Genomic DNA, 14,277 nt, shown 5'->3' with positions numbered 1-14,277 from the left:
TGGAATTCAACAGATAAAGTGAGCAGAAACACCTAAGGCAAGGAAGGAGAAGGGAAGCCAGGATGGGCTCACCAGTGAGATAAGGGTGAGAGACCCCTAATGGTCCACATTCCCACCTCAGACTCCTGCAATCCTAGCCAGGGGAGAGCCACATGACCCTCAGGGGTCCTGACACCAACACAGAAAGCTGCCTAGAGACCACAAGATGCTCCAGATAGGAGGTTCATGCTTGGGTCCTACACATGCCCTAAGCAGCTGCATGCAGCACAGCGCCATTTTGAGGGCTCGGCCCCCACCAGACTGCATCCTACCCTGGGGCCCAAGAGTCCTTACACCCTAAGTCGGGGTGGGGGAAGCACCTGAAGACAGCCCCCCAACCCCTGCAAACCTGCAGACAATGATGATATCTAAGTGCAAGCCACTGGCAGTGACCCCACAACTCCAACAGTCACGTATTTAAAAGCACCCTGAGGACAGATTCTCCCAATCACAGCCACCAACTGGCGGAAGCTCACATGCCCCAGATGCCTGCTTACTGGCCGTTGCCACTGAAAACAACGCTGCTCTCCCCAGCAGCAGGACCCAAGTGCTGGTAGCACACTGCCAAGGACCTGAAGAACACCCCACCCCTGCCTGCGACCTGGAGGCCTGAGGACAGGCCAACTTGGCTGGGCTCTGTCCTCCCCTTCTGCCGCCCTAGCAGTGCCTGAGCACACATTTTGGGGCCTGAGGGTGGCCCTGCAACATCCTCCACTGTTGGCACCTGAGCACTTTTCCCAGGGGCAGAAGACACGCCCAACCAACCTGCCACTACCACCACAACTGTTACCCACCCGCACACACCCCCTGTGGGCCTGCGCACTGTCCTGTCCAGCCCATCAAAGCCACAATTGGTAACAGTGTGGACCTCTGGGGAGCCAGAGGTTGCCCCTTCACTGCTACTGCCATTGCCCACTGCCCAGAAACTTGACCTGCTCACCCTCCAGGCTCACCACTGCCACTGCTGGCACCCAAGATGATGTCTGGACTTACTAGCACAGGTGCCAGCATACGTGGCCTTGGGACTCAAAAACAGGCAGGCTCAGCCTGCTGCTGCCACCACTGGGGCCCAAGGAATAGCCTGCCTGATGTCACTGACCCCAGCAAAACTTCACCACACCCTCCACTAACAAGCAAACCTTAAGCCACTGAGGAAACCACAGACACCACTGACGCTGTTTATAGGTTAGAAATTACACAGCCAGTATGAAGAACCAAAGCCAAAGTGCCCCACCCAATCAAAATCATAGGTACATCTTCGGGGAAAAGTCCTCCCCTAAAAAAGCAAATTCAAAAAACTAGAAGAAGCAATGTTTATACCAGATGTGCAGATATCAACATAGGACACAAGAAACAGAAAAAGTAAGAAATTATGATACCTCCAAAAAAAAGAAAAACAGAATAATTCTCCAGCTACAGATCCCAATGAAAAATAAACTTAGGAAATATCAGAAAAAGAATTCAAAATAATGATGTCACAGAAACTGAGTGGAATACAAGAGAACACAGAAAAACACTGGAGAACTGCTTCAGGACACTGGTCGAGGCAAGGACTTTATGGCTAAGACCTCAAAAGCACAGGCAACAAAAATAGATGGGATTATATTAAAGTAAAAAGTTTCTGTACAGCAATGGAAACAATAAACAATGTGAAGAACAACCTGTTGAATGGGAGAAAATATCTGCAAACTATTCTTCCAACAAGGGACTAATATGCAAGAAACTCAACAATTAAAAAAAAATCCCATTAAAAAGTGGGCAAAGGACATGAACAGAAATTTCTCAAAAGGTAACATACAAATAAATGGCAAACAAATATATGAAAAAATGTTCAACATCACTAACCATCAGGGAAGTGCAGATCAAAACCACGATGAAATATCATCTTACCCCAATTAGAAGGGTTATTACTAAAAACAGAGTAACAGATGCTGGCAAGGATGCAGAGAAAAGGGAACTCCTACACTGTTGGTGGAAATATAAGTTAGTAGAGCCACTATGGCAAACAGTATGAAGATTTCTCAAAACTAAAAACAGAACTACTGGATGATCCAGCAGTCCTACTACTGGGTATTTTTCAAAAGGAAAGAAAATCAGTTTATCAAAGGGATACTTGCACCCCTTGTTTACTGTAGCACTATTCACAACAGTCAAGATCTGGAATCAACCTAAATCCATCAACAGATGAATAAAGAAAATGTAGTATATATACACACTGAAATACTGTGTGGCCATAAAAAAGAATGAAATCCTGTCATCTGTGGCAAGGCGACATGGACAGAACTGGAAGGTCATTCTATTAAGTGAAAGAAACCAGGCACAGAAAGACAAATTTTCCTATGTTCTCACTTTTATGTGGGAACGTTAAAAGTTGATCTCATGGAGGTAGACAGTAAAATGATAAGATACTAGAGGGTTGGAAGGGTGTGTGTATGTGTGTGGCAGGAGGGAAGGAGAGGGATGAAAGGTGGTTGATTAATGTGTACAAACATACAGGTAGAAGAAATAAATTCTTTTTTTAATTTCTAACTTTTAAGTTCTGGGGTACATGTGCAGGACTGTTACACAGTTAAACATATGCCATGGTGAACAGCTGCACAAAGGAATAAATTCTAATGTTCAAAAGCAGAGTAGGAGGCTATACTTAACAATAATGTATTATATATTTCTAAACAGCTAGAAGAGATGACTTGAAATGTTCCCAAAACACAGAAATAATAAACACTCAAGGTGATACATACCCTAAATACTGACTTGATCATTACACATTCTATCCATGTAACAAAATATCACATGTACACCATAAATATGTACAAATATTATGTATCAACAAAAAAAAATTTTAAATGTCAACCAACAAATAAATATAGCCACGTCAAGTATAACATATCTAAAATATATCCAGATATCAGCTTAAACTTATTCTAAATTTGTAAAGATTTTATTTGGCAATTTTATGCAAATCAGTATTTAATCTTCTCTCAAACGATGTATTTCATTATAATTATGCAACATTAACAAAATATAATATAATTTTCTATCAAGGCCCACAGAGATGCTCCCAAATACCCTCAGTTTTCCCCCAATGCTGTACAGTGTAATCTGATGGAGAAAACAACTGGAAGCCAGAAGAGTGAAAGCAGAAAGATCAACCAAGAGCTAAGATAATATACTCCCAAGTTTCTGGCTTAGGCAAATTACTGAAAAGGACTAACAGATAATAAGAAATAGTTTGAGGAATAAGGAAGAGAGTAAAACCATCAATTCCATTTGGAAAAGGTTGAGTTTGATGTACCAATGAGATATCACAGAGAAGTTATCTCATAGTGAGTGAGGTATATAGGTCCAGAATATTGAGCTAAAGACATAATTTTTAGAATGAGGGAATATAAATGGTAATTGAAAGCTATGAGATCTTCTTGAGAGGGTATTTAAAATTATGGGAGAAGAGAAATAGGGACATAACCATATACATTTGATCCTTGAACAATACAAGTTCCAATTGAGTGGGTTCATTTATACATGGATTTTCTTCCGCCTCTGCCACCTGGGACAGCAAGACTAACCCTTCCTCCTCCTCAACCTACTCAATGTGAAGACAATGAAGATGAAGACCTTTATGATAACCCACTCCCACTTAATGAACAGTAAATGTATTTTCTCTTTCTTACGATTTTCTTAACGTTTTCTTTTTCTCTACTTACTTTATCATAAGAATACAGTATACAATGCTAACATGTAAAATATTTGTTAATCGACTGTTTATGTTATCAGTTAAGGCATCCAGTCAACAGTAGGCTATTAGTATGTATGTTTGGGATAAGTCAAAAGTTATATGGGAGTTTTCAACTGCATGATATTGAAGGGTCCATTCCAGTTGATAACCAGAGGAAAAGTAGCAAGAAAATCTGAGACAAAGTGTAACAGGTACTTGGAAAGTAACTTAAAAAGGAGTAAAGGAGTCAACAGAATCAAATTCTGGTAAGTTAACAGTATCCAATATTTGAGTCACTGGTGACTTCAGTGAAAACAGCTTTAGTACAGAGCAAGAGCCAGACTACAGGGGATATGAACAGAAAATGAGTTGGTAGAGACAATTCTTTCCAAAGTGCAGCTATAAAAGGAAAAAGAAGAAGCTAGGGGAAAGGGTGAGGTCAACGGTAAGGGTTTTGTTTTGTTGTTTAAGAAGGAAGGGGAAAGAGTATTCTTAAACGCTGAGAAAAAGGAGTCAGTATAGAAGGAACAGGTGAAAGAGAAAGAACAGTTCATGAAAGTAAATCACTGATGATTGTTAAAATTCTCTAAATTCTTATCTAAATTTCAGAAGACTAAATTTGAACAAAAATTAAAACTTTATATTCTTAATGAATTTCATACAACATTTATATCTTAAAGACATCCTAATCATTTTTTGTTGAAACATTATTCAACAAGGCAAGCAAGTAGGTAAAAAAGAATTCTCGTTGACATTTTACTTTCATTAAAATTCTCATTCCCTTTTTATTTAACTTCCCATTTACCAACTCTGTGTATCACTCAAGTTTCAGAAATAACATAAAAAGCTATCATAATGTCAGTTGCCGGGCCCAACCTGCAGATCCTGGCCGAACGACAGAAGGAAAATGTACGCAGACACAGGTTTTTTCCTGGACGTGCAGCTAGGGGACTGGGCCACTCACAGACGTCGAGGAGGATGCCGTAAAGAGTCACAGCAGCCGCAGCCCTGACATGCCAGCATCTTTTTATTACAGATTTAATGACAAAGGCTTTGAGTCAACACACTTGTGGGTAATTAACGTGGTCACCACTGCCTCGCCACCCCACCACACCACCTCCAACCCGCCACCCCTACCTCCCGACTCCTGCAGTTGATTAAAGGCCACGTTCTGGGAGGCCTAAGTAAACTAACTTATCTAGATCAATTTCTTTACATCCCCAGGTTATCTAATCTTTGCTATCAGGCTCCGGGTAAGAGAATCCAGTTGACTTCAGCCAAATTATCTTTCAAAGCTTTTGCAAAACCTCCCAGCCTTCCAAGAAGGTTTGCATCTTTTTTCTATTTCTCCCACCACCCTGACCAATTTCCTACAGTCAGTAATATTAGAATTCTTTTTTTTTAAATGAATGAAGGTAACAGAAGAACAAATGACTAAAACTTTCAAGCTTGGGTATTTTCTAAGGAAAAATGATGGTACCACTAACAAAAACTGGGGCTGCTAAAAACATAAGACATTTCAGAATTGTACAATTGACATTCATAATAACTAATGGGTGGATCACAAGGTCAGGAGATTGAGACCTTGTGAAGCCCCCTCTCTACTAAAAATACAAAAAATTAGCCGGGCGTGGTGGCGGACGCCTGTAGTCCTAGCTACTCAGGAGGTTGAGGCAGGAGAATGGCGTGAACCCGGGAGGCGGAGCTTGCAGTGAGCTGAGATCGCGCCACTGCAATCCAGCCTGGGCGACAGAGCCAGACTCCGTCTAAAAAAAAAAAAAAAAACTGGCATCAATTTTAATCAAAATCTATGGACATGCAACAGTATTAATTTTTTTTTCCTATTGAGACGGAGTTTCGCTCTTGTTGCCCAGGCTGAAGTGATCTCGGCTCACTGCAACCTCCGCCTCCCGGGTTCAAGCGATTCTCCTGCCTCAGTCTCCCGAGTAGCTGGGATTACAGGTGTGCACCACCATGCCCGGCTAATTTTGTATTTTTAGTAGAGACAGGGTTTCATCATGTTGGTTAGGCTGGTCTCGACCTCCCGACCTAAGGTGATCCACCTGCCTCAGCTTCCCAAAGTGCTGAGATTACAGGTGTGAGCCACTGTGTCTGGCCAATGATTTTTAAGTGATCTAAAAATAATTAGTAATGTTGTGGGATAGGCAATATTCACTTTCAGATATACCTACACAGAAAGTATTAATATACAAAGCTTTTAAAAATATGTCACAGATGCTTAAACATTAACATATGTTACTTAACAGCAATCTTTTGACATACACATCATATGCGCAGAACTATATGACTGTTTCTCTTAAATAAAGTGAGAACATTTCTATACTGGATACAGTAAATACAAAGAGAATCTTACTTTTAGCAAATATATCAACTGGTGATCCATCAGGCAAAAGCCATGGCCAACCTTTGAACTGCCATGCAGGACCCTGCACAAAAACGGCTACAACGCGGTCCCTACAAGTAGAAAAGTGGGTGGGGGGAGGTAGGGGACAGACGGAGATTATTTCAAACTTGAGCTTTAGCTACTATAAATCCCTTAGGCAACAGTCCCATAAACATTCATGTGAAAGAGTCTTATCAATCCTTCCATGAAGCAAATACAGTACTTACCACCTTTTCAATATGATATTGCCATTAGAATGTATTAATGATTGCTATACTTCTCATGTATCTGGTTTTTACACCTAAGTCTTTTAAACATAATTCAATGGACAATACTCGTATGTAATCTTGTTTGCCCTTTCTGTTCCCTTCTGTTAATTAGAGTAGTGGCCCACTTTTCCAATGTAATAGGGAATAGTGGTTGATAACTATTAATCAAAAAAGTTGTTTAAAAAATCATTTAAAATTCAAACACATCTTAAATATTTTACTTTAACTAAAAATATTACATTATAGGAACTCATCAACCATTTTACGAGGTCCCAGGGCCTTATCTGAGTTCTTGTGATTACTTAGGAAGTAATCTGAGTATAGAAACCATTTAGACTTTTATAATTTTTGCAATTGTTTTACAACTGTTTCATTCACCCTAAATTTATAAGTAGTTTTTAAAGCATTTTTTTCCCAACCAAACAACCCAGTTTTCCTAGAAAGAACAAACTTCTTTGTAGGCCCTCAAATTTCATTATTTTATAAAATACTTAATTGAATTGAGAAATTATAAGAAGTACTGCCATAAACAGTTAAAGCCAATAACTAAAGCGGTGGGAACAAAACAACAACATTATCAGCAATAATGGTTAACATTAGTAGCATTTATTGAGCATTTACTATGTGTCAAGTGCCATTTTAAGGACTTTATGCGTTACTTATGATGTTAACACATTTAATCTTCAAAACAATCCAATGACCTCACTGTATTAGAAACCTCATTGTATAAATGAAGAAACAAGTGCATGGGCATGTTGGAGAAGAGAAAGGAGGAAGGTAGAAGTACAGAGAAAAGGAAGAAGAGAAGAAGAGAAGGAGGAGAATAAATTACTATGCTAGGGCACTGGGTATGCTACTGTTCCTATTTAAGGGCAGATAAATCATGAGAATAGCCATCTCAGTATTATTATGAAAATAGTTTTCACCTTGCAACTCTGTGAAAGGGTCTTAGGAATGACCTGAGGTCTGCAGACCACACTTTGATAACCACTGCAATTAATGACGACTGCAGACATACAAAAAAACATTAAACCAGGGTTACCTTCTATTCAAGCAAAGACCTACAACTATTAAAAACTGCCAGCTTAAAGTTCTCAACCTGCTCAAAATCTCCCTAAAACTTAAAGTATAGTAATAATAAAATAAAAAATTAAAAAAAATCTCTGAGACTAAAATTAAATCTTAAGTTAAAAAATTTCCCCTTTCATGGGATACATGCCTCAAACTGTCAAAATCATCTTTGGCAATGCAGCACACTATTAAATAATCTTTCAGTTTTATGATGTAACTTACAACAGTTGAAAGCCCAAGATGCCTGCCAAAGCAAAGGGAATTTGCTGGACAGAGGTCACTTATATTCTACTGGGTCTCATAGCATCAGCACGGAAGCAGAATAAAAATGTTACTCCCCATGAATTCTTGGAAGGACAATTAAAGGAAAAGGAAAATAAGGAAGTAGGGAAAATGCTGGAGGCTTCAATGGCTGGAGACCCTAACTAATACACACAAGCAGTATTTTACAGCATAGTGATGAGATTTGTATACACTGTATTATTTCTGCAAATACACTGCAAACATAAAATACAAGTGATATAACTTTCCTACTTGGTTTTAAGCTTGATATCTGAAATTCTCATCTTACTCATTTTCTATATTACTCAAAGTATCTATTAGGTACCAGAGAAGAATTATAATTTTAAATATATATATATATATTTATGTGTGTGTTTTAAATATATATATATTTTAAATTATATTATATATATAATATGTATATTATATATATTATAATTAAATTATATATATAAATAAATATATAAATTTTAAATATATATATGTGTGTGTGTGTGTGTGTGTGTGTGTGTGTGTGTGTGTGTGTGTGAGAGAGAGAGAGAGAGAGAGAGAGAATTATCCTACCAGTCTTGAGGCATAAGTTTAAGGGGCTGGTCTACTACTCTATAAGATACTGTGACACTAATTAATTGCAGTGCCCCCTGGTTGCAATTTTCTTAAGAAAATTTTTAATATTAATATTCTCAATGCCTTGACTTCTTAATGCCTGAAAACTAACAAGTACTTCAAAGGTAAATTCATCTAATGTGCCATGTGTTGCGTTCTCTGTATCACGGATATATACTCAACTTTTACTCCCGGTTAAAGAAATAAGGTAATTTGTGTGTCTAAATTTATAGGCACTTTATATTATAAACAGCTTAATATTTTGTTAAAGGACACTTAAATTCAATAAAAGTGTTAAACCATGATAAAAGAGCTATTCCTATTTTTATTACATTATTCCCTTACAATAAAATATGCCTTCATTTTTTTCTTACCAGAAAATTGAAATTCTCCAAACCAAAAATCTAAACATAGAATACCTTACATTAGCCTAATTTGCTGGGTTCTACAAGCTGATCCGGAACAAATGAACAAGTGGAAAGAATTTTTTACACTGGGTTTTCCAGAAGTTGGAATGTTTCTTCTTATAAGTAAAATCAAGTTTACTTATCCAAAATATAAAGTTATTGAGGAATTATTAGAATGTTAACATTATTGATGACCAAAGTAAATATACATCAACACACTTTTCAAAGACAGTTTCTATTTAGAACCCATGATAAAATTTGATAATTGCTCACATGAGAAAAAACAACCAACAATATACAGAAAACAAACGAATATTTAAAAAATATAGGCTGCCAGGTGCAGTGGCATGCACCTGTAGTCCTAGCTATTTGGGAGCCTGAGGCAGGAGGACTGACAGAGCCCAGGAGTTCAAGTTCTGCCTAGGCAACATAGTGAGACCCCATCTCTTAAAAAGCAACGTCATCAACGGCAATAACAACATTCATTCTCTTGGGTTCAACACCTGTGAAAAGATATATATATAGAGACTATCTTACCAGTCTTGAGGCATAAGTTTAAGGGGCTGGTCTACTACTCTATAAGGTACTGTAACACTAATTGCAGTGCCCCCTGGTTGCATCTGGTCTTTTCTTCTTTGTATTAGAGTTTCATTTTCTCGTTGACAACCTTGTTTCTTCTTTTCATCTGATGGGACAAATCTTTGAAAAAACAGAGATGAGAAAAAGTCAATGTATTCCACGTGATGAAAATGGGAAGATAAACTATAATTTGAAATATTTTTTTTTTTTGAGACAGAGTTTTTTCTTATTGCCCAGGCTAGAGTGCAGTGGTGCAATCTTGGCTCACTGCAACCTCCACCTTCTGGTTTCAAGCGATTCTCCTGCCTCAGCCTCCCAAGTTGCTGAGATTACAGGTGACCGCCACCACGCCCAGCTAATTTTTTTGTATTTTTAGTAGAGATGGGGTTTCACCACGTTGGTCAGGCTGGTCTCGAACTGCTGACCTTGTGATCCACCCGCCTCGGCCTCCCAAAGTGCTGAGATTACAGGCATGAGCCACCACGCCCGGTCTGAAATAATTTTTAAACATTAATTAGTTTTAAACTAAAGATGTTTGTTTTTAAATAAACCTGCTCTGCAAGTACAGATCATGGAGTGTATAGGTCTTTCCTCTGTATACCAAATAGAACTCAAGCTCACTCAGACCCTAAGTTGGGTGTGTGTGTGTGTGTGTATGTGTGTGTAACACCACACAATTTATATTCATTCAACTAGCACTTAGCATTTTCCACACTAATACTTAATTTCTCAAATTCTATTAGAGGAAAACTTCATGATAAAGAGGAATTTTATTAGAAATCAAAAGGTCATTTGAAATGAAAAAGTTGTTGTGGCTAGTAGGCTTCTTTACGACTTAGCCTATCCAGGAGCTTCATAAAACTTTTTTTTTTTTAAGATTTTATGCTTCAGCAAAATTACAAAAATACCATCAAACTTCAGAGTAGCCTTGAAAATTTTAAAGTATGAAAATTAAATCAGTGCATGCTGATAACCTGCTATTATTATCAACTAGTGGCATTTATCAACTTACTTATGTGGATCCATTCTCAAGACAGATATTCTTAAAAATAACTTAGCAATCTGGATAGCTATTACCACCTGTAAAATTTGCTAGTGTTCACAAAGTATTTTAAAAGTCTTATTTTCTAAATATATACATAATCCTAACAGTCCAATAACATATTTTATTAACTATGATCTAGTCTCTCCAATAAAATGGAGGGAATACAATCAATATATTGAGAGTATCATTCTGCTTCTAAAGTTTAAAAGAGATGAAAGGGTGAAAGGACCAAAAAGCACAGGAGAACTTGCACTAATTAGAGTTCTCTGAAAAACTTCAATTACACATATTGGATTCATCACATAATACTAATTTTATTGTCTAGAAAGTTTTTAGTTCATGGTGATAATGATGATACTGAACTTTGCTTCTGAGCTGATTGTTCTCACATCCATTTTACATTTGGTTAAAAAGTTAAGATTTCTATATCATTTAAAAATTTCCCCCAGATAATCATTTGCTTCCTATGGCATTTGGTTTATTTATTAATCAAGCTCACTTAGAAAATGCCAGACAGTACTAATACTTTGAATAATGAAACACATTATTTAGAAAATTTAATATGTGTGCATTGTTTGAAATTGCATTCTAATAAAAAGCCACAACAAAAATGTTTTAATAGTATGTGCAATACATTGTGCTATAAGTTTTATAATATACATAGTTGTACAAAACATAGTCCCTGCCCTCTTGAACTTATGTTCCACACACACAGAACAAAGGGATTCTACTGCCAAGAGAAATGCTTTGTTTTATCTCAGTCTATAACTACATGGGATTTAAACTGTTTTAAGTTGTTAAATATAAGACTGCATCTCCCTCTTTTCTGGCTTCTGAAATTTTAACATGGTGTTAAAGTTTAAATTTACTTGTACAAAATTACTTATAAACTTATAAACAAAATTACTTATAATCATATGACTAGAATGCAAAATACATACAAATGAGTGATCTATTACAATACCAAACTAATAAAAAGTCTATTATACACCTATTTCAACTTTTGCAGGTCTACACATTGGTTGATATGTTTTATAAAAGCTCAGAAACATTAACGTGGTTTTTACAATTAACCACCGTCCTAGAATTTTTAGATGCTGTAGCATGTTAATTTCTGATTATATCTACGTATTTTCTTAGAATTAGTCATCTCTATTAGCAATAAAAAAGGCTTTATTTCAAAACGCTTTTCAGCAAGGATCTCATTTGAAAACATAAGGATAGATCTTATGACCTCTTCCCTAAAGTTAAGTCTACTAAAAAGATTAGTATTCCACAGAGTCAATATAATTTTACCTGTTCACCCTACTGCAGTTCATCAAATCTAAGACACAATGATTGTGAGCTACACCATTATATTGTACCACTATGAAAGGAAAAAACTACTGCCAATTAAACTATGATATTCTACATAAATCACAGTCATCATCCCTCCAGAAAACTGGTTATTTCTTCTGGCTTGGGCTGCACTGCTGGGTGTGTGATAGGCAATTGTTTCATATGTATCTCAGGCAAAATAGGTTCATCTACTATTGCTATCTTCCATTTTTAGGTTCCATAAAGCTCCTGGTTGTTGCTTTGCAAAAAAAAAAAAAAAAAAAAAAAAAAAATACGGGATTAGGGCGAGGTGCAGTGGCTTATGCCTGTAATCCCAGCACTTTGGGGGGCCAAGGTGGGTGGATCATTTGAGGTCAGGGGTTCGAGACGTCTGGCCAACATGGTGAAATCCCGTCTCTACTAAATATACAAAAATTGGCTAGGTGTGGTGGCGTGCGCTTGTAATCCCAGCTACTCTGGAAGCTGAGGCAGGAAAATCACTTGATCTCAGAAGGCAGAGGTTGCAGCAAGCCGAGATCACACCACTGCCCTCCAGCCTGGGGGACAGAGTGAGACTCTGCCTCAGGAGAAAAAAAAAAAAAAAAAAGAATGGGAATGTCATTCCTCTAATGCGGAAGAATTCAAACATCAAATCTGCACTCCACTGCTTCATTTTAGTGTATTTTTGAATATACAACATTTTTATTGACATAAAATTTACATACAGTGAAATGCATAAATAGATGAGTTTTGAAGAACGTATACTAAGTATAAGCACCATTCCAATCAAGATAAAGAACATCTGTGTCAACCAGAAAGTTTCCTTATATACCTTTCAGTCAAATGCCATTCCCTTCCTAACAAGCAACCACTCTTCTGCTTTCCATTAGTTTTTCCTGTTTTGGGAATTTATATAGACACACTCATATACCAGATGTATTATTTTGTACCTGGCTTCTTTCATTCAATGTAATGTTTCTGATAATCATACCTGCTGTGGGATGTATCAGTAGTTCATTATTTTTTATTGTTAAGTAGAATTCTATTGTAAGAAAATACCATTCTCCTGCTAGTGGACATTTCGGTGTGTCTTAGTACGTTCAGGATACAGTAAGAGAAATAGCACAGACTGGGGTGGCTTGTAAACAACAGGAATTTCTTTATCACTGTTCTGGAGGCTACGAAGCCAAGACCAAGATATTGGCAAGTCTGGTGTCTAGTGAGGTCCCACTTCCTGGTTTGTAAACCGTATTATTGCTGCGTCCTCCTATCACAGAAGGAGCAAGGAAGCTCTCTGGGATCACTTTCATAAGGGTGCTTATCCTATTTGTGAGGGCAGAGCCCTTATGACCTAATTACTTCACAAATACCCTGGGGCATTAGTGACTAAGTTTCAACATATAAATTTTGTGGGACACAAATGTTCAGTATACAGCAGGGTAGTTTCAAGGTCTGGGTTCGTACAAGTAAAGCTAACATAAATAATTCCTGTATAAGTGTTTTTGTGAACACATGCTTTCATTTCTCTTATGTAAATACCTCCAAGTGAATCATGGGGTATGTATAACTTTATAAGAAACTGCCAGGAAGTTTTCCAAAGCAGTTGAACCATTTTATACTTCCACTAAAAATGTATGAGACTTCTAGTCTTTTGAATTTTAGTCTTTCTAATGGGTATGTGAAATAGTATCTCAACATCATTTTAATTTTTACTTCCTCAACAACTGATGATACTGAGAATTTTTTTCATGCGCTGATTGGCCATTTGTATACCTTGTTTTGTGGAGTGTCAACATCTCTTGCTTATTTTTAATAGGATTTTTAAAAATACTGACACACAGGATTCTAGATACAAATTTTCTGTTACAAATGTGCAATGAAAAGATTTTCTCCCAGCATGTGGCTGGCCTTTTTATTTTCTTAATGGTGTCTTTTGATGAACAGAAGTTTTAAAATTTCTTTTTATGGTTCACCCTTCAAAAAAAAAACTATTTCAAAGTCACAAAAACATTCTATTATGCTTTATTCTAGAAGCCTTACAGTTTCAGCTTTTAAGTTTGTGTGTACAATCTACCTTAAAAAATGTTTGTGTATGGTGTTAGGTAATGGCTGACAGTCATTCCTCTCCACCCATATATTTATCCAATTGTTCCAGTACCATTTATTGCTAAGGCATTTGTTTCTTAATTGAATTGCATTGATGTCTTTGTCGAAAATAGTATAGCCCCATTTAAGCAATCTCCATTATTTTCATTCATCTATCTATCTTTACATCGTTAGTACATTGTGTGGATTATTGCAACTTGATAGTAAGTCTTGAAATCAGGTAGTGTGAGTCCTCTCTCTTTGTTCCTCCGTAATAACTGTTTCAATGCTAAATTGCACCGTATCTTTTTTGAAGATATTTTGCACTACATTTAAATTCAACATATATAGTACCATCTATGCACATATCTCACAGAACTGATGAAACTAGGAATTGCCATCACTATTTTGTGCATGTGCCAGTAATAAAAACTATGTCAGGACTGCCACCTAGCCAC

General features: G+C 37.1%; 1 protein-coding gene across 1 annotated transcript in view; it reads right to left on the bottom strand.

The window, feature by feature from the left end:
* The window catches only part of CDC73 (cell division cycle 73), a 132,785-nt gene that overhangs the window by 12,331 nt on the left and 106,177 nt on the right, over positions 1–14,277 (bottom strand). Inside the window, exons 14-15 of the mRNA NM_024529.5 lie at positions 9,331–9,492; positions 6,129–6,229 (exon numbers count right to left, since the gene is read on the bottom strand). Of these exons, the coding sequence (NP_078805.3) occupies positions 6,129–6,229; positions 9,331–9,492 (263 nt within the window). The remainder of the gene's footprint in view (positions 1–6,128; positions 6,230–9,330; positions 9,493–14,277) is intronic.

Source organism: Homo sapiens, chromosome 1 (assembly GCF_000001405.40).
Source record: "Homo sapiens chromosome 1, GRCh38.p14 Primary Assembly".
Classification (NCBI taxonomy): domain Eukaryota; kingdom Metazoa; phylum Chordata; class Mammalia; order Primates; family Hominidae; genus Homo; species Homo sapiens.
This window is presented reverse-complemented; position numbering and strand designations above follow the sequence as displayed.